Genomic DNA, 21,446 nt, shown 5'->3' with positions numbered 1-21,446 from the left:
CCCCATTGTTGTAATAAGTCTCTACCCCATAGATCGACAGGAATAGGTGTAATAGGTTGAATTGTCCCTTCTTGGCCATCTGGCCCTTGGCATGGCAAAATTAAAGAACTTTGAAAAACTTCTGAGGCAGCCCCTACTCCAACAATACCAATGGATGCCTTTTGCTTAGGCCAATGCTGGGGCCATTGATTCAAACCAATATAGAAACATCAGCTCCAGTTATCTACTAGCCCTTCAAAGTTCTTTCCTTGAATGGTTACTGTACAAATAGGTCTCTTATCAGACACTTGATTAACCCAATATACAGCTTTTCCTGCTGGATTCATACTACCAAAGCCTCCCATTCTTTTTACTATGCTGCGTCCCAGTTTTGCATAAGGTAACAGTAACAACTGAGCGATTCTTTCTCCTGAGGAAGCAGACCATGGAATTGAGGAACTAGCAACTAATTGAATCTCTCTGGTATAATCAGAATCAATTATTCCTACATGCATAGTGACACCTCTAAAATTTAAACTAGACCTTCCTAGCAATAGACCAACTGTTCTGAGGGTAAAGGGCCCCTGACTCCCATGGGGACCTTCTTTGGTGGCTCCCCAGGAAGTAGGGAAATGGGAACTGTGCTGCAAAGATCTACAGCAACACTGCCTGCTGTGGCAGGGGACAACTGTTGTACATTTGTAAGGGCACTGAATGTGCCAGATATACCTTGGTTTGTTGAGGGGCCCGAGGTGGGCCCCTCTTCCCGTTTCCCAAAAAAAGGTTGCCCATCTTTGCTAAATTTAGAATGACACCGATTTGCCCAGTGATTGCCCTTCTTACATCAGGGGCATACGCCAGGACTTTTCTGTTGATTGATGGTAATAGTTTTTGCCTTTTGATTTTCTTTTCTACATTCCTTTTTTGTGTGTCCAAATTGCCCACAATTAAAACAAGAGCCTGAGAAACGGGGCATATTTTTTCCCACCTTTAGTCCAGCCATAGCTTGGGCTAAAAGAGTAGCCTTATTTAAGTTACCTCCAATGCCATCAGAAGCCTTAATATATTCAGCCAAATGAGCCTTCCCTCTCATAGGTCTAATAGCATTTTGACACTCTGTATTGGCATTATCATATGCAAGGAGTTGTATTACCACATCTTGAGCTATTTCATCAGTTATGGCTTTACGCACAGCCTCTTGGAGCCGAGCAATAAAGTCAGTATATGATTCTTTAGGTCCTTGTCAGACAGAACTGAAAGAAGGATATTTTTTCCCCATAACATTTATTTTTTTTCCATGCCCATAAACACACAGTGTGTAACTGAACAATGGCAACGTTTTTCATTACTGCTTGATTGTCTAGTCGGCCCCAATTAGGGCCCAACCCCATTAACTGTTCAAAGGAAACAGGCACAGGCGGCTGTGCTTGTGTGTTTTCTCTTGCTTGAGTTTGAGCTTCATCGGCCCACCAAGTTTTAAACTGCATGTACTGGGACGGAGTGAGAACAGGTTTTGTTAAAGTATCCCAGTCATATGGTATTAATCTATTATCAAGAGCCACATTTTTTAGTAAAGTTTGTACAAAAGGAGAATTTGGCCCATATTGACTAATGGCTTCCGCTTGAATTCCTTTAACAACTTAAAAGGAAAAGTGGCCCAATTAGCTATATTCTGCCCTCCTTGCTGGGTTATAGTAACTGGAAATTGCCATACTTCAAGGTCTCCCTCGGCTCTAGCCTTTTGAATAGAATTTTGTATAGCGCCACCAATAGCTCCAGGTTTTAATGTTGCAACTACAGGAGCAGTTTTTTAGTTTTTTAGCTAGTTCATGTTCTTGTCCATTAAGGGGAGAGGGAGGAGGTGGCCATTCACTTAATTCAGCAGGTGGAACCGACAGGCTAGTGAAATGTACCTTTTTCAGTTTCCCTCTCTTTTATTTAATTTCCTCTGGTTCCTGTTCCTCACATTCAGAATCTGAAGTTAATTTTTTACACTTGTCTGCCTCTTCCTCATCTGAATCTGTCTTGTCATTGTTTGAAATGGCTCAAGAGCTGCCTTTATCAATGCTCACACTGACCAAACAGAAACTGGAATTTTGGCTCCTTCTTTATGCACCTTTTTAAAATCTCTGCCAATTCTTTCCCATTCATCCAACCCCATTGTCCCTTGTTCTGGGAACCATGGGCAAACTGCTCTACTGTACTAAAGAGTGTTAATAAATTCTGAGTACTAACTTTCACTCCCCCTTTCCATAATAAATGCCTTAAGAAATTTAAATAACTAAGGCCGGGAGTGGTGGCTCACGCCTGTAATCCCAGCACTTTGGGAGGCCAAGGCAGGCATATCACAAGGTCAGGAGATCGAGACATTCCTGGCTAACACGGTGAAACCCTGTCTCTATTAAAAATACAAAAAATTAGCTGGGCATGGTGGCACATGCCTGTAGTCCCAGCTACTCGGGAGGCTGAGGTGGGAGAATGGCGTGAACTCGGGAGGCAGAGATTGCACTGAGCCGAGATCGTGCCACAGTACTGCAGCCTGGGTGACAGAGCAAGGCTCTGTCTCAAAAAATGTAGGGATCAGCCCTACAGGGCCTGTAGGTTTTTCTCCTTGTGTGCGGAGACGAGAGATCATAGAAATAAAGACACAAGACAAAGAGATAGAAGAAAAGACAGCTGGGCCCGGGTGACCACTACCACCAAAATGTGGAGACCGGTAGTGGCCCCGAATGCCTGGCTGTGCTGTTATTTATTGTATACAAGGCAAGGGGGCAGGGTAAGGAATGTGAGTCATTTCCAATGATAGGTAAGGTCATGTGAGTCACATGTCCACCAGACAGGGAGCCCTTCCCTGTTTGGCAGCTGAGGCAGAGAGAGAGAGAGGGGACAGCTTATGCCATTATTTCTTCTATGAATTTCTTGGAGAGATCAAAGACTTTAATATTCTCACTAATTCTGCTACTGCTATCTAGAAGGCAGAGCCAGGTGTACAGGGCTGAACATGAAAGTGGACAAGGAGCGTGACCGCTGAAGCACAGCATCACAGGGAGACGTTTAGGCCTCTGGATGGCTGTGGGTGGGCTTAACTGATGTCAGGCCTTTCACAAGAGGTGGTGGAGCAGAGTCTTCTCTAACTCCCCCAGGGAAGGGGAGACTCCCTTTCCCCGTCTGCTAAGTAACGGGTGCCTTCCCAGGCACTGGTACTACCGCTAGACCAAGGAGCCCTCTAGTGGCCCTGTCTGGGCGTGACAGAGGGCTCGCATTCTTGTCTTCTGGTCACTTCTCACCATGTCCCTTCAGCTCCTATCTCTGTATGGCCTGGTTTTTCCTAGGTTATAATTGTAAAACAGAGATTATTATAATATTGGAATAAAGAGTAATGCTACAAACTAATGATTGATAATATTCATATATAATCGTGTCTATATTCTACGTCTAATATAACTATTCTTATTTTAAGTATTTTCTTTATTATACTGTAACAAGCTTGTGCCTTCAGTCTCTTGCCTTGGCGCCTGGGTGGCTTGCCACCCACACACAAAAAAAAGAAATGTAAATAAGCAGAATGTTTACTTTCATTCTGTCCCATTGTTACCCTGGTTCTTACGAGTGCCCAGCTTACCTGCCGAGCTTCTTTCAGTCATCCTCGGGTGTCCTCTGACAATGTGTCCTCTGCTTCCACATGCTCTAGTGTTCCTTCACCAGGGTCTTCATAGCCCCATGTTGGGCGCCAGAAATGTTAGGGTGATCAGACCCAACACTAGGCCATGGGGGCTACGAAGTCTGGCAGAGTCAAATGAATGAGAAAAGACAAGTTAAGAGTGCATAAGGTGGGTCCAGGGGGCCAATGCTGGTATGGAGGCTGTGAAGCACCCGAGCTCTGGGAACCCACACTATTTATTGGTGATCAAACAAAGAAGCAGGTGGTGAGGACATGCGGATATGGGGGTAGAAAGGTAGCGGTGCATCAAGCGTAGCTGTGACACTTTAGCATTTTCTTTGACACATATGAATATGCTCTGCTGCTTGAGATAATGGAGAACATGTTTATGAGCCTGGGAGAGCAACCAACAAGTCTGTGCACATTCCAGAGGCTACGAGGGGTTGTATGCCCTGAGCCCTGGATTCCATCCAAGTCATGAGGAGTTTTATGCCCTGGGCTTAAATTTGTGGTGCGGCAGGGCAGCCTTCCACCCTTTGGCACAGAGCTTGGTGTTCCAAAGGCCACAAGGGGTTTTAGACCCGGACCCCGGACATCTTCCAATACTCTTTTATATTATGACAGACAAGCCAGTCCTGCCTCAGCAACTCTACCAACATCAAGTCTTAGTTGTGGGGGTTGATGGACTCATCTGACGTCCATGCACCAGCAGACCTCCTACTTGTTCCCTGTTTGATACCGTTTTCTCACACTCTTTCCTTATCATGCCTCGTTGCCCCACCCCCATTCTAGGCCAAGACCTTTTAGCCAAATTCAAAGCTTCTATCACCTTTTCCTGCTCCCCTCAAGCAGAGTCCCTCCTGCTCCTCTCCACTAGTCCAGCCTCTGATCCCTCTCCCCAGTACCACTTCCCGCCTCTCTCTTTAACCCAGTAGTGTGGGACACCACCATCCCTTCCATAGCTGCTCACCATGACCCCATCAAAATCCAGTTAAAAGACCCCTCCAAATTTCTCAATGTTCGCCAATACCCAATCTGCCTAACTCACCAAAAAGGCCTACAACCCATCATAAACAAGCTCTGCTTATGCACTCTTCTTAGACCGACACACTCTCCATATAACACCCCCATCCTCCCTGTTAAAAAATATGATGGCTCTGGGCCAGGCGCAGTGGCTCACGCCTGTAATCCCAGCACTTTGGGAGGCCAAGGCAGGTGGATTGCCTGAGGACAGGAGTTCGAGACCAGTCTGGCCAACATGGTGAAACCCCGTCTCTACTAAAAATAGAAAAAAATTAGCCAGGCATGGTGGCATGCACCTGTAATCCCAGCTACTCAGGAGGCTGAGGCAGGAGAATTGCTTTAACCGGGGAGGTGGAGGTTGCAGTGAGCCAAGATCACATCACTGCACTCCAGCCTGGGTGACAGAGCAAGACTTTGTCTCAAAAGAAAAAAAAAATCTGATGGCTCATACCAACTCGTTCAGGACCTCTGAGCCATCAATCAGGCTGTCCTCCCTATCCATCCCATAGTCCCTAGCCCCTATACACTTCTCTCTCTTGTCCCCACCAACACCACCCACTACACCACAATTGACCTGAAGGATGCCTTCTTTACCATTCCCCTACACCCTGATGCCCCAAACCTATTTGATTTCACCTGGACTGACCCTGACACCCTCCAGTTACAACAACTCACATGGACTGTCCTTCCTCAGGGCTTCAGGGATAGCCCTCATTTCTTCCGACAAGCTCTAGTCTGAGGCCTCACCTCCTTAAACCTGTCTCCCAGTCTTCTTGTTTAATACGTGGAAGACCTTCTTCTTTGCAGCCTCTCTCTAAGAGACTCTCAAATTCACACGGCCACTCTCTTAAACTTTCTCACTATCAAAAGGTATAGGGTCTCCCCCTCCAAGGCCCAACTAACTCTCCACCTCCATGGTGACCTACTTAGGAATTCAACTTTCCCCTGGGGCCTGGGTTATGACTCCAGCTGGGGCAGCATTAATAGATAATCTACCCCCATCCTCCTCCAAAAGCGAAATCCTTTCCTTCCTAGGGCTAGCAGGCTTCTTCAGAATATGGATTTCCAACTTTGTCCTCCTAGTTGATGTCCTCTATGAAGTGGCCAAAGGCCCTCTCAATGAACCCCTAAACCCCACACATAACATACACCCCAGCTTTCGCAAACTCCAAACTGCTCTTGTCACTGCATCAGCTCTGTCCTTACCTGATATCTCCCAACCTTTCACTCTCTATACTGCCGAAAGCCAAGGAATAGCCCTCGGTGTCTTAGCACAACAGAAAGGAAATCCTTCCTTTGCCCCTGTAGCTTACCTCTCTAAACAACTAGATAACACAGTCAAAGGGTGGCCAACCTGCCTTAAAGCACTAGCAGCAGTTACCGTTTTAGCTCTAGAAAGCAGGAAACTAACTTTCAGCCAGAATACCACCATCCACAGTCCTCATAATCTACAAGATCGCCTCTCCTCCCGAGCACTAAGCTCCCTTCCTCCTTCCTGGATTCAATTACTCCATGCCCTCTTTATCGAAAATCCCGAATCCAGTCTTGCCAAAAGTGCTCCCCTGAACCCAGCATCCTTACTCCCTGTATTCTCTTCCCCTCCTACTCATTCTTGCACTGACATTCTGGACCATGTACAGCTACATTTCCCAAACATTTCCTCCGAGTCTCTCACCAGCCTTGATGAACAACTATTCATAGATGGCTCCTCTTCTGGGCCCACCAGCTCCCCCAAAATTGCTGGATATACATTTGTTTCCCTTGACAAGTAATTGAAGCCAAGCCCCTACCCCCAGGAACCTCCTCCCAAAAGGCAGAACTCATAGCTCTCACCAGGGCTCTAACCCTTTCCAAAGGCAAATGAGTCAACATTTATACAGACTCCAAATATGCCTATCACATTCGTCATTCCCACACCTCCATCTGGCAAGAGAGAGGATTCCTTACTGCCAAAGGAACCCCCATCACTAACAGCCCCCTTATTTACCAACTCCTTCAGGTTGCACACCTCCCAGCGAAAGCAGGAGTTATACACTGTCGAGGACATCAAACAGGATCAGATGAAATCTCAAGAGGGAACAGAAAGGCCAATGAGGCAGCAAAAGAATCCTCCCTTTCTTCTGCCCCTCCCCCTCTCCTCCTCATTATCTCAGCAATCCAACCCAAGTACTCTCTCACTGAGAAAGCTTCGCTACTACAGCAAGGAGCCTCCTTTCAAGGGACTGGATAGTCAAAAATCAAAAGCTCATCCTCCCCCAAGAGCAAACCAAAGAAATTCTGACATCTCTTCACCAATCCTTCCATATTGGTGAGCACCCCTGTACCTACTCCATCGCCCTTATTTCTCCTCTCCCCTTCTATTCACGTCACTAAAAGACATAACCTTAAACTGTCATATATGCTGTGTTACTTCCTCCCAAGGGGCCCTCCGCTCTCCCCCTATTCCTACACATCAGCTCAGAGGAACACTCCCAGGGCAGGACTGGCAAGTAGACTTCACCCACATGCCTCCCGTCAAGAGGACAAAATTTCTTCTTACTCTTATAGATACCTTCTCTGGGTGGGTAGAAGCATTTCCTACCTTTCCAGAAAAGGCCGCAGATGTCCCCCAAATTCTTATAACAGAAATCATCCCTAGATTTGGTCTCCCTCACTCCATACAATCAGACAGTAGCCCTAGCTTCATCTCCCAAATCACCCAACAGGTTTCTCAGTCCCTCAGCATCCAGTGGTGACTTCATATCCCATACTGGCCCCAGTCATCTGGAAAAGTCAAGAGGGCAAATGGGATCCTTAAAGCTTAGTTGACCAAACTCATTCTTGAAGTCCAAAACCCATGGACCTCCCTTTTGCCCATAGCACTGGCCTGCATCAGAGCCAGTCCAAAAGCACCCTTGTTCCTCAGTCCATTTGAGTTAATGTATGGACAGCCTTTCCTCTTACAAAACAGGCCCCCTTCTAACTCTCAGCTAGGAGAATACCTCCCAACACTCTCCCTCATCCACCATCTCCTCCACCAACAAGCTGACCAGGCCCTCCCAAAACCCCACGAAGGCCCCCCAACCGGAATCTCCTTCCAGGACAGCATGTCTTGCTAAAAACTCTTAACCCAACAACCCTTAAACCAAAGTGGGAAGGCCCTTTTCAAGTTCTTCTCATACCCCCACTGCAGCTAAACTCTCAGGACATATCTCTTGGTACCATCTTTCCAGATTAAAAAGAGCCCCCGAAGCACCCACCGACCCACCAACTGCCATCCTCTGTCGATTCTCCAGTACTCTCCTTGGCCCAACCAAACCCCGCCTCACACCTGTCCTGAAGAAGACCATTGAACAATACCCAGACTCCTCCTTCCCTTCCTGACAATCATAAGTACACTCCTGATTTCTTAAATGCCCTGTTCTTGCCTACCTTGCTGTTTCACCCTCTTCCTCATCTCCGTTTGCCAAGACATCTCTTGGTTTCATCCCCAAACTCCCAATCTTGACTCTCTTGTAGAGTGGATAGATGACGTTCTCTTCCAAGGCACCCTATGTGACTTTTCCTCAGATGAAATGCACTTATTTACTTTCCTACTCACTCTTTGCCTGTCTACCTCTCCTACTCCCTTGGCTGCCCCACGTAGCCACATCTCCCCTTACAATAGTACCCGACTACCTCTATAAGACCCTTAACCTAACTCACTCCCTGCTAAACCAGTCCAACCCCATCCTAGCAAAAGACTGTGGGCTCTGCCCACAGTCCTATCAACTACCACCTATGTTGCCACCCCCGTTCACTCAAAAAACTGGGTTCTTAATTAACCTATCACACCCGTTATGAAGGAAAAAGCCCCTTTCAACTTTTAGACATGCAGCTATTGGCCGAGTTTTCTATCACAGATATGACAAAAAGCACTCTGACAGGGAACACAGTACAATTGTTACGCTCCTGTATCTCCAGTCTTACCCAACAGACAAGTAATAACAAGCCCATTCATGGCCCTGTGACCACCGACACCAGTCTAACTTTTCAAGCCCTAATATGTATCCAACACAACCTGTCCTCAGGTCTGACTTTAGGTCACCTACCATCCCATCAATGTAACTATACCTTACAGCTTCAAGTCCCAAACGACCACCAAAATTTTAAGGTCACCCAAACAGCCGAATTTAAACGGCTTGTCAGTTTTTCAGGACCCCCAAAGGTCATTACCAGCTCTTTACTAAATAAACATTCAGGATTTTGTAATGGCAGATATACGAACTGTATAACCATTCACCCATGGACCCCTTGCAGCATGGCTTCCCTCCCTGCCGAATGCCTCCTTATACCCTCTTTCAATTACTCCTCTGAATGGCTCCTAATAGACACAAAACGATTCTTTCTCCAATGGGAAAATAAAACACAAGGAGCCACTCAAACTATCCCTGCAACTCCTTTTCAGTCACTCACTGGAGCTGCCTTAGTAAGGACTCCAGGCATGTGGGAAAATGAAAACAATATACTCTCGCACCTTTTCAATAAACATAACCAGTTCTGTCTGCCCAGCCAAGGCATATTTTTCTTGTGCAGAACCTCAACCTATGTCTGCTTCTCTGCCAATTGGACCAGCACCTGCACCCTGGTCTTCTTAAGCCCCAAAATTGACATTGCCCCTGGAAATCAGAGTTTACCAGTCCCTGTTAAGGCTCAAGTCTGTCAGCGTGGAGCCGTACAGTTAATACTCCTGCTTATAGGACTAGGAATTACCACTGCAACAGGAACAAGGATAGCAGGCTTGTCCACTTCCCTGTCCTACTATCACGCTCTCTCAAAAGATCTCTCAGACAGCCTACAAGATATAACTGAATCCATCCTTGCTCTCCAATCCCAAATAGACTCTTTAGCAGCAGTGACACTTCAAAACTGTTGAGGTTTAGATCTCCTCACTGCCAAGAAAGGTGGACTGTGCATCTTTTTAGGAGATGAGTGCTGTTTCTATACTAACTGGTCAGGACTAGTGTGAGATGCCACCTGATGAATAAATGAAAAAGCTTTTGAAATCAGGCAGCACCTTTCAGACTCCTGGCCCCAGTGGTTTCGTAACTCCTGGGCACAATGGCTACTGCCCTTCCTAGGCCCTGCCATAACCCTCTTCCTCCTTTTAGCATTTGGCCCTTGTCTCTTATGTTTCCTTACCCAGTTTTTACAGGACCGTATTAGAGCCTTCACCCACGGAACAATACAGGATATGATGCTGCTCCAAGAATACCGACAACTCCAGGAATGGCAGTCCCCACCACCCAGACTCTCCCCATAACCGTCGCCCCTATCCAGCAAGAAGCAGCCAGATAACAATGGCACCCCTCTTCTATTACCTATTAAAAGGCTGGAATGTTAGGGACAAGCTGCCCCAGGACCCCCCACACACAATGCAGCTGACCCTTACCCTGAATACTCTGAAGCTGCATTCCTGGACCCTTATCTAGGTGCTACAGCAAGGTCACCAGACTTGCTTACAGCCCAACAGGCAGCATGGGGAAGGTCATGAGAAATGTGGATAAACCTAAGTTACACCCTCTTGTAAATTCCTATATTGTAAGCTGGTCACAAGATGATATGTGGTAAAGTTAATCGACCAACAACCCCAGGGTCTCTCTCCCTCATATAAACCCCTCATTTTGTAAGCTCAGGGCTTCCTCCTCTGACTGTGGTGGAGCAGCCTGGCAGGTTAATAAACTTACTTGCCTGACCTTGGGTCTCTCTTTCATCCTTTCTCTCAGCTAACCTTAGACCCACGTTTCCCAGGAGCCAGCCTCTCAGTCGGTGGGAGTCAAAAGTCCCAGTTCATCATCTGGGTCCAGGCCAGCTAAAGCTTCCACCAAGACTGCTGGGGGAGGGACCCGGATGAAGCACTCCAGATCCTCCTGTGAGACCAAAGAGTCTCTTTTAGCAGAAAAACCTGTTTGGGGGCCTTGGTCCTATTACTAATAGTTCTGTGACCTGCCCTAGGGAACCAGAGGTTTGCTGAGAATTCAGAGCCCAGCTCACCTCCAAGTCCCTGTCTGCATCTTCAGCAGCCCTGGCTGCCCTCACCCCACCCCACCCTACCGGTGGCCTCTGCCTTGGAATCAGTCTGCCTGCTCTCCAACAGCTTTTCAGCGCTCTTCTGTCTCAGATGGGAGGGCCATGGTTCAGCCTCACAAGTTTGTCAAGAAGCCACATTCTAACTGCACCTGCTGGCCTTATAAGGGGGCTTTCCACTGGGACATTTGGAGTGTTGTATTTTATTGCGGGAACTTTGTGATGCACCTCAGGGATACAAAGGTCAAATGCCAGAACTGTGTCACCATCAAATTAAGGAGAAAAGGACTGTGCTGCTGTTTTGGGGCAGAGTGGTGGTGGGATGAAAAATTCCCGTGTTAACCCACCCCTTGTTGAGCACATACTGGATGCCGGGTCCACAGGGGAAACAAGCCTTAGTCCTACTCTGTCTAGAGAAGACACACATACGTCTTAACAAATACTAATGAGAAAATGTGCACATGAGGTGAGGCTGGGGAGGGGTTTCCAGAGCAGAACCACAGGCTAGCACAACTCCAGGGGGTGCCAGGCACCCCTGGAATTGTACAATGCTGCAGCCTTATTTCTGGAGCTGAACCCTGGCCTGGGCTTGAGAGATGAACAGGAGTTCTAGAGGCAGAGAACAGGTAGAGGTGGGACAAGGGCTTTTCTAGAATCTTCTGATCTGTAGTCAGATGTGTTATCCATTGCACCACTGGCCCCTCCAAGGGCTTTCCAGATGAAGGAACCAGTAACAAAAAGAAAAAACAGGTGTGAAAGGACATTCGTTCTCCAAGCTGTGGACTGGCATGACAGCTAATGCTTGGGCCTCCAGTGATGGTATCTTGAGTGCAAATGAGAGCTAGAGGGTCTGATCCAGGACATAGGGAATTTTTGTCCTAAAATAGTTTCCAGGCTCAATTTCTTCCCACAGTTTCTCAACCAAGAGAATTAGTCTCATTTTCTACCCTGTTTGAAAAATGGAAAGAACTTTCCTGGCCAGAGGCAGAATTGCATAGTGGTTAAGAATATGGGAGCTTGAGTGGCCCCTGGGGATGATGGCTCATACCTGTAATCTGAGCACTTTGGGAGGCTGAGGCAGGAGAATCTCTTGAGCACAGGAGTTTGGGACCTGGACAACATCTCAAGACCCCATCTCTACAAAAAAATTTACAAAATAGCCAGGTGTGGTGGTGCATGCCTGTGGTCCCGGCTACTCGGGAGGCTGAGGTGGAGGACCACTTGAGCTCAGGAGTCCTAGGTTGAAGTGAGCCAAGATCACACCATTGCACTCCAACCTGGGTGACAGAGTGAGACCCTGTCTCAAAAAAAAAAAAAAATAAAAAGAAAGAGCTTGAGCACTATTTTAAACAAGCAATCCAAGTTACTATCACTAATAAGGGGACAAACCTCCTGATGCGATGCACTAAGAATACAACATTGAATGTGAGGTATTCCTGAAAAAAATGCATTGCTTGAATGGAATTATGAGGAAACATCAAACAGACTCAAACTGTTTACAAAACAAAGGATGTTTACAAAACAACTAGCCTGCAATATTTAAAATGCCAAGGACATGAAAGACAATAAAAAGGCTAAGAAACTGTTCCAGATCAGAAGAGACTAGAGACATAAACATGTGATAGGCAGATGTCAGTGATGAGATATCACTTCTGAGATTAGGTTACAAAGGACTGAGACTTCCATCTTGCTAGAATTCTCTTTCTGGCTCTTCTCAGCTTGCTTGTTCTGGTGAAGCAAGCTGCCAAATTGTGAGCTGCCCTCTGGAGAGGCCCATGTTTCAAGGAACTGAGGAATTCCTAGCCAACAGCCAGCCAGGAACTGAAGCCCTAAATCCAACAGTCTGCAGTGACCTGAATCCTGCCAACAATCACTGAATGAGCTTGGAAGCAGATCGTATTGCACTTGAATTCTGAGATGACTGTGGCCGACACCTTGGTTGCAGTCTTGTGAGAGACCCTGAGCTCAAGAGCCCAGCTAAGCCATGTCTAGATTCCTGACCCATGGAAACGGAGATGACAAATATTGTTTTGAGCTACCAAGTTTGTTGTGCAGCTAAATTTAACTAATACAACAACTAAATGCATCCTGAACTAGATCCTGAAACTGAAAAAAAGGATTACTGTGAAAGACACTATTTAGATAATTGGTAAAATATGAATAGGGACAAAATAGATAATATTGTCTCAATGTTAACTTTCCTGAGTGATAGCTGTACTGTGGTTTTATAAACAGAAGTTTTGTTCATTAAAGATTTTGTAGCAGGACCGGTCTTAGACAAGACCTCTCGGACACCAGTTTTAGGAAGGAATAGGCTTTAATCAGCTGGGAGCATTGGTAGACTCGTGTCTCAAGATCTGAGCTCCCCGAAGTCAAGATTCCTGTCCCTTTTAAGAGCTTACAACTAACTAAGGTGTCCAAGTGAAAGGGTCATGATACATTGTGCAAGCGGGGGCTACGTGACTGGGGCTGCATGCACCGGTGATCAGAACAGAACTGAACCGAACAGGGAGTTACACAATGCTCCCTCATGCAATGTCTGGAATCTATAGGTAACATAAGCGATTAGGTCAGGGGTCAATCTTTAACTACTAGGCCTGGGGTGTGGTGATGGGCTGTCTGACTATTGAATTTCACTTCTGCCTTTTCTTTAACTCCTACTTTCTCTTTCCTTTGAGGCAGAAATTAGGCAGAAGACAATATGAGACGTGGTCTCCTCCCTTAGTCCCCCCTTTGAGAACCTCACTTATTAGTGGGAGTTCTCATCTTCATCTTCACTATCTAGGTTTTCTTGTAAGACAGATCAATAGCAATTCATGTAGTACACTTGTGCTGAAGTATTTTGATGGACTAAGTTGTAACAAAACTTTTTATTACTTGAAGGAGCAAGGGCAGCACACAGGGAAGCAACAGGCAGGTTCCTATTATAATTTCTATTATAAGAGTTTTAAATCCTCTTAGCACTGGAAACCATTTTCTAAACATGGTCCCAGGATCAAACCCATGCCACACTTGCACGGGCACAAGTGCCAGCTTTGTTATATCTTTAACTATATTTTTAACTACTTGCCCTTTATGTGCAGGCAGCAATTGGTTAGGTTAAATTTCCCACAAACTCCTCTTTCAGCTGCTAGCAAGTAACCTAGGGCTAGTCTATTCTGATAAATGGCATTTCTCATCAGGGTTTCTTGCCTGGCTAAAACGGTCAAAGCTCTGCCAGTTTCATTAGTGATTATTTCTTTTTTTTTTTTTTGAGATGGAGTCTCACTCTGTCACCCAGGCTGGAGTGCAGTGGCACGATCTTGGCTCACTGCAAGCTCCGCCTCCCAGGTTCACACCATTCTCCTGCCTCAGCCTCCCAAGTAGCTGGGACTACAGGTGTCTGCCACCACACCTGGCTAATTGCTTTTTTGTATTTTTAGTAGAGATGGGGTTTCACTGTGTTAGCCAGGATAGTCTCGATCTCCTGACCTCATGATCCACCTGCCTCGGCCTCCCAAAGTGCTGGGATTACAGGCGGGAGCCACCACGCCTGGCCCATTAGTGATTATTTCTAAGACAGCTTGTAACCGTATAATCTGGTTGAGCACATAGATGGGGGTTCGGCATCCCTATGAGCAGTCTTGTGCCCATGTGGCAGGCCCATAGTACTGTATGATTCTTTCAGGGGGCCACTCATCATTTTTCCAATTGCCTATGGCTGTGCTCCTCTTTTCTCGGGAAGCATAGACAGGGAAGGCTAGGAGGTCACCCATTTTTATGGGCAGTAGGAAAAAGGATGGCTTAATGGTGCTAACAACACAACTACCTGCCCATTGGTCAGGTAGTTTGGTATAGGCTCTATGCCCGCATATCCAGTATAGTCCAGCTGGAGCCATCCAGTCCTGGTGAGACTCTGGATGGACCCAAACAGTTTTCAACTTAGGAAACTTACTAAATGGATTTTTCTTAGTATGGTTTAGACCCCACCAGGTGACTGTTCTTAATTTTATTTCAAAAACTGTGACCACAGGGGGCTCAGATGGGTTATAACACACATCAGGCTGGTGAGTTCCTGGGCTACATACCTTGTACTGGGTGGCATTATACAAACAAGTCCCTTTTAGGGTTCCAACATATTTACAATAACTATAGAACAAAATGACAGTTTTAACTTTTTGCCCTACCTCAGTGACCTGATATATACACTAGGAACAGTCCCTGGTTTGAGGGAGGTCAGTTGAAGTCCTTACTGTACAAGTCCAAAATTTAAGGAAAGTAAGTCCCATGGTGAGTTTCATTACACTTCGGCCGTGCATGGACCAGTTGGCTTCCAGGTGTAACTGGAGCAGGGCTTGTCATCTTCCTCAGAGTCACTTTGCAGGGATTGTCTGTGCTTGGTCTCGCCTCCCAGGTCTCAGGTGCTGCGGGTTTCAGGCGGCTGTGGTGGATCCAGGCTGGGATTCCTTCTACTTTCACAGCTGTGGGAGTGGTCAAGATGGCGGTCTGGGGTCCTTTCCACTGTGGCTCCAAGGGGGCTACGTTCCAATCCTTGATCCATACCCAATCGCCTTTGCTGTCTTCTGTACCAAGTCATCCACAAATGCTAACCCGTTGTCCGAGCCGATTTGCAAGGGCAGTCCAAACCTAGGGATGAGATCTCCACATTTGGGGGTCTCGGTGAAGTCTACCTGGGAATCTTCAAAGGGGGCTGCTCCATAAGCCTGTATGCCAGGCGGGATGGTTGGACCTTGCCTAGCATTGTGCTGCCGGCAGGTGACACACTGTGGCACCACTGTTTTGCCAAGGGCTGACAGATGTAAGATGTAGAAGTACAACTTTTTAAGTGACTCTTGGCCCAGGTGGGTGGACTCATGCACAGCCAGTACAACTGCGGCTCCTAGCAGTTGTGACATGGCTATTCTTCTGTCCAATAACCAGATCCATCCTTTTTCTATCACCTGCCTTCCCTCCGGCTGATGAAATGCCAGGGTGAAAGGGATAGCCAATTGGTGTAAAGCAAAAATGCCACTCCAGTTATTTGGCAGAGTGTCCAGTAAAGGTCCACCACAATACCACCACACATCCGCTTGGAGATGAACAAGGGCTGACTTGTTGGTAAGCTCTTGAAAGTTCTTAAACTCACTACATCCCTTCAGGTCTCCAAGGAAAACTAAGTTTCCTCCCTGTTGTGAGAGACACAAAGTGAACTTAGTGTTGGGAGACGGAAGCTGGATGGCCCTTGGGGGCTGACCCTCAGGGTACTGAACTTCGGGATATAGCAGAGAGAGAACTTGGCATGACCTTTACTTCAGGCTGTGGAATCCTGGAAAAGAGCTACCATGCAGCCCACGCCTGGTCAACTGGAGGACCACCTTAGTGGAAAGGGGACAATCTGGGCCTCTGGCCTGCCACGTGCACAAACATAACAATTGCTTTTGTTTAACGTGCGGACGGAATATTTGATCCTTTCCAACCAGGCATTTGCATCTTGGTATCCTGCCTTAATTGCCAAAGTTTGTTTTAAGTCTTTAACTTCTATGATACTCTAGTAAAATGAATGTATGGTTTTAGGAAATTACAAAAACCAGTTGGGGCAGTCATCCTTGCTCTTTAGTGATCCACAGAACATTGGACCAACTATGGCATAAAAGCTCTACATCAGGGGGCAATACTCCAGGTTGACACTGGGGTCTATCAAAATCTCCCCGGATTAAATGATCCCAATTTACTAATGCCCAGTCTGAGGACAGTCAGGAGGGACAGAGGTACTTTTCTGAAGTAGAGAGCTGTCTTTGAGACTTGGCAAGTCCCCACAGGGTATAACAAGGCAAGCATTAAATGCAATAGTTTGAGGCGAAATTGACTTGGTTATGTTAATAACTAGATGGTCAGCAATAGAACTAGGAAAGAAGAAAGAGTAATAGAATAGATGAAAGAGTTAAATTTTTCTTAGCTTTAGTTTGGTAGGGTTTTCCCCTGGGACTATGGCCCACAACTCCGGACCGGGTGGCGCTTTCTTGACTCGGGTGTGATGAGTCCATCCTTTTTTGCTGTACGAGCAGCAGTCTCGGTGGTTAGCAGCACAAAGTAGGGTCCTTCCCAGGCTGGCTGGAGTTTTCCTTCTTTCCACCCTTTGATGAGAACGTAATCTTCAGGCTGGTGCTGGTTTACAGGAAATTCTAGGGGTGGTACATGTGCTAAAAGACTTTTAGTTTTGAGGGAAAGGAAAGTGGAAGATAAACCAAGTATATAATTTCTAAGAAATTGACCTTTTGTTTTAAATGTGGGGTCATCAGCAGCAGATTTTATAGTCCTTGGTGCCTTTTTACTGAGAAATTTCCTTTAGCACCTATATTTATTAGTTTTTAGGCCAAAGAAAGCCATATACCATTTTATATCTGACGATGCTTCCTGTATGATTTTTATACCAGATAAGCTAAAGTTCACCTTTATATTAGTGTGTTATTAATGTCAAACTTAGTTTTAATAAAACTTTGTAGACATATTTATTCAATTTTTGATGTCTGACCATAAGGTAAGATTTTTATAGACTCTTTTTAACCTATTATAATTTTTGTTAAAGAGCAGGTTAGTGCTTTAAGAAAAACCCGTTGTGTTTTTACTTTAATGTCCAGTTCACAGAAAAACTGGATGATACCTCTTTAACTTTAGCCAATATGTTTATACACAGAATTTCTTTTACAATTAACGTTTTAAAACTTGCTTAAACCTTCAAAACAAAAACAATTTTTTAACTTTTTAATGTAGATAAAAATCCACATTTTTATGCCTCCTTATAATCCTTTTACTAAAAGTATATTTTACTTTCCTCATACACCTTGCATATAAACTGTTTCTTCAATAGTTTTACATTCAGGAGGCCTAATTACTTTTAAATTATACAACATTTCTTGCGTAAATTCCTTTTTTATAACACACATTTTTTTCTTCTTTCACGACTTTTACAGACAATTCTTCGACATGTCTCAATTTTCTGACTTATTGCAAACATCCTTTTCTTTAAACAACCAGTTAATTTATTTTAGGACAAGAATTTACCATATAACATTCTTTTTACATAAACTCCCCCCTGCCCCCCTCTCCCCCCCCCCCGCTTTTTCTCTCTCTTTTTTTTTTTTCCCCTAATTTCCCGGGAGGAACCATCTATCGTCCAGTCTTGAAGGGGGTTCCTCCTAGGTCTGGTCGGACCTTTGTAAGGTAATTAAGATTTAAATCCCTTGTTAGGAAACCTGCTGGGTTAAGGGAATTTTTATTGGTTAATATTAAATCATCTTTTTCTAACAGAATAGCCTCATACTTTAAGATTTTTGAGTCAGGAAGTTACGTTTTTGCTTTTTTTTTTTTTTTAATTTAGGATAGTTCTGAACTGGTGAAGTGTGCTCACAACGAGGTTTCCTCTAAAAGTTATTTTTCTACTTGCTTCTGTTAGCAAAGCCGTTGCCGCTGCAGATTGAATGTATATGGGCCATCTGTGGATTACTGGGCTAAGAAATTTTGATAGGGAGGCTACGGATTGCCAGTGGCCTCAGTGCTTTTGGGCTATGCCCTTGTTTACGCTGACAACAAAGTGGTATTGGAGTGTTACATGGTCACGGAGAAGACCTTTAATTATCAATTATAGGTTCCAAATTTAGCTTGGCTTTTAAAGGACTAGGACACACTGTTTTTTTCTTAACTACTTGTATATCTCTCTTTTTCTCTCTTTGACTTTCTTTTTTTCTCTTTGACTTTCTTTTTATCTCTGTCTCTTCCTCTCTCTGCCTCTCTCTCTCTTTGACTCCTCTTTGTCTCTCTGTCTCTTCCTCTGTCTTTCTTTCTCTCTTTGCCTCTTGTATTCTCTCTCTCTTTCCTCTCTCTCTTTCTCCTCTCTCTCTTTTTCTCTCTGCTGGTCTTTCCTTGCCTCTGTGAGCCGCGTATTCTGCTGTTCTCCTCTCTCCTTCCTCTTCCCCAAGGGAAAGGACCGACGGGAGTGGAGCTACTCTTTCTTCCTTGGCTGTCTGTCCCTTTGCCACTAGTACTACTACTGCTGCCTGTCCTCTTAACCACTGTGAGGGGTCTAAAACCAGCTGCAACCAAGTATCTATGTATGGAAACTGATCTGGGTGTCCTGATTTACCAGTTACTTTGTGCCATACCTTTGAAACTAGGGACCTGTCTAGGCTTCCTTCTGATGGCCATCCCACCTCTAATGCCGGCCAATCTATCTCACCAAAGCTTTAAGCTTTTCAGGTGTCATAGCGATTCCATAGGCCCCATTGAATCCTTTCTTGAAATTCTTTAACATAGTTCCTAACGGGGTAGGCTTACTTTGTGTTTTACTCATTTTCCTCTCTCAGGAGACAAAACAACACTCTTACCACAAAGAGGGAAGGGGAGAGGGGGCAAAAAGTCACCCGCTAACCAAGCAATTCACACTAAAACCAAAGTACGGATAAGGAGTTACTCATTCATTAAGCAATTTGAGCCAAGTCAGAACCGAAATCAAAGCCAAAACAGTTCAAATCCGAAGGTCAATACTGAAATCTAAACCAAAACAGTGCGAATCTAGTCAAAATCAAAACCAAAACCAAGGTACCGATAAAAGCACGTTGTGGGTGATCAGGCCAGGCTTCCACTCAAATGGAGTGGGCAAGTTCCAAGACCGCTTCTTACCATATTCCAGATGTCCGGACACCAAGCGACTCCAAGCGCCGATTCCTTGCCGGTGTTCATCCGCTGCGTTAATCCTCCGCGGGGCCCTACCATGCCCTGCTCTGGAGAGGCATTCCACCCGGGCAATTCCCTACCCGGGAGCGCTCTTTTCGCGTCACTAAAGCCTGCCAGAGTCCCCCGCAGGGATGCTCCACAGGGCAGGCCTAAGCCGCCTAAGGGGCTGCCTCAACCGTCCACTAATCACCTGGCTTCTTGGTCAGGGAACCAAGAAATGTAGCAGGACCTGTCTTAGACAAGACCTCTCAGACACCCGTTTTAGCAAGGAATAGGCTTTAATCAACTAGGAGCATTGGTAGACTCGCATCTCAAGATCCGACCTCCTCGATGTCAAGATTCCTGTCCCTTTTAAGGGCTTACAACTAACTAAGGGGTCCAAGTGAAAGGGTCGTGATACATTGTGCAAGCGGGGGCTATGTGACTGGGGCTGCATGCACCAGTGATCATAACAGAACAGAACTGAACAGGGAGTTAAACAATGCTCCCTCATACAATGTCTGGAATCTATAGGTAACATAAGTGATTAGGTCAGGGGTCGATCTTTAACCACCAGGCCTGGGGTGTGGCGCCAGGCTGTCTGACTATTGAATTTCACTTCTGCCTTTTCTTTAACTCCTACTTTCTCTTTCCTTTGAGGCAGAAATTAGGCAGAAAACAATATGAGAGATGGTCTCCTTTAATTTAGGGTTATGATTTTTGCCATTTCCTCTCAGATGGTTCAGAAATAATAAGTAATATTATATATATAACAAATAATTATAAAGTTTTATCCATATATTAATTTATCTGTTGCATAACTACCTCAAAACTTAATGCCTTAAAACAACAGAAATGTATTATTTCTCACAATTTTGTGGATTAACTGGATTCAGCTGGAAGATTCCTTTGCTCTGTATGGCATTAACTGAGATCATGCACTCTGCTTCGGTCAGCTGGGCTGGGCTGGGCTAGAAAGTCCAAGAAAGCTTCACTCACATGTATAGCACCTTGTTGTTTCTTAATATGGCCTCTATGGCTCAAGCTATGTGACTACCTTGGGTTTCCTCACAACATGGTGGTTTCAGAGGAGACAGACTTCTTGTATCGGCTAGCTTGCAAGAGGGAGAAATGTAAGCTGCCCATCCTCTTAAGGCAGGAAGTTGCTGAGCCATATCAGGATCTAGGGCAAATCCTCTTTTCTAGGCCAGGAAAAGCCAGTTAGGCAGTGACTCAGGGAGGAATCCTAGGGGCAAAAGAGGAGGAGGGAGAGGAAGAACACAAAGAGGCTCCCCCCAGACAGAGGTCAGAGGGTTCAGAGGTTCAGTAGCCTAGAGTACTTCCTTTGCCTCTAATATCTTTAGCCTAGGAGCTCATTTAAAGAAATCAAGGGGTGGAGAGGAAGGAAAATGTCACTGACTTAGCACAAAGTGCCAGGAGCTCTTTCACATCAACTCTGTGAAAAAAGCCATTACTATCTGCTTGAAAAGAAGAGGTAGCAGAGGACCTGTGAGCACACTCATGCTACATGTTTTGGATTAATGAACATATTTGCTTCTTTATTTCAGTGAATATCTTTTGGGCCAGGACTCTGCTTGGGAACACAAGGATGAATGATGTCTTAGTCAGCTATTGCTGCCATGATGCCATGTAACAAACATCCTCCAAATCTTGGTGGTTTACAACACCAAATATTTATTTTCCTCATTCACAGGTCAGTGGGTCTGCAGGCTTCTGTTGCAGACCAGGAGTTGGCTGGCGCTAGGACCAGGCTTTAGGTTGAGTTCAAGTCTACTCATATCTCCACACTCTACTTGGCCCAGTGGCTACCCTGGGATATGTTCTTCTCAAGAGAGATCACAGGAGTATGAATACAGGAGATGGGCCAAACCACACTGGCACAATGAAGACTTCTGCTTATATCATTGGCCAAAGCAAATCCCATACCCAAATCTAAAGTCACTGAGGCAGAGATGTGTATTCTGCCCACTGTGAAGCCATGATATGGCATAGCTGGATAATTAATGATGATAAGTCAGGAAGGGAGTGA

The 21,446-nt window shown here is 45.5% G+C and overlaps 4 annotated features.

Annotated features, from left to right (window-relative positions):
• Positions 2,528-2,747: a silencer, noted in NCBI's record as "fragment chr10:73716485-73716704 (GRCh37/hg19 assembly coordinates)". NCBI's record gives its function as "represses an EF-1alpha promoter that drives an FKBP-Casp9 reporter gene in an ReSE screen in K562 erythroleukemia cells {active_cell/tissue: K562}" and the evidence as "EXISTENCE:reporter gene assay evidence [ECO:0000049][PMID:32094911]".
• Positions 3,195-3,304: a silencer, noted in NCBI's record as "silent region_2468". NCBI's record gives its function as "represses an Ori minimal core promoter by ATAC-STARR-seq in GM12878 lymphoblastoid cells {active_cell/tissue: GM12878}" and the evidence as "EXISTENCE:reporter gene assay evidence [ECO:0000049][PMID:35858748]".
• Positions 3,769-3,984: a silencer, noted in NCBI's record as "fragment chr10:73715248-73715463 (GRCh37/hg19 assembly coordinates)". NCBI's record gives its function as "represses an EF-1alpha promoter that drives an FKBP-Casp9 reporter gene in an ReSE screen in phorbol 12-myristate 13-acetate-treated (for megakaryocytic differentiation) K562 erythroleukemia cells {active_cell/tissue: K562(+PMA)}" and the evidence as "EXISTENCE:reporter gene assay evidence [ECO:0000049][PMID:32094911]".
• Positions 21,038-21,194: a silencer, noted in NCBI's record as "fragment chr10:73698038-73698194 (GRCh37/hg19 assembly coordinates)". NCBI's record gives its function as "represses an EF-1alpha promoter that drives an FKBP-Casp9 reporter gene in an ReSE screen in phorbol 12-myristate 13-acetate-treated (for megakaryocytic differentiation) K562 erythroleukemia cells {active_cell/tissue: K562(+PMA)}" and the evidence as "EXISTENCE:reporter gene assay evidence [ECO:0000049][PMID:32094911]".

The sequence above is a fragment of the Homo sapiens genome, chromosome 10, assembly GCF_000001405.40.
Source record: "Homo sapiens chromosome 10, GRCh38.p14 Primary Assembly".
Taxonomy (NCBI): domain Eukaryota; kingdom Metazoa; phylum Chordata; class Mammalia; order Primates; family Hominidae; genus Homo; species Homo sapiens.
Note: the sequence above shows the minus strand (reverse complement) of the source record. Positions and strands in the feature narration are given on the sequence as shown.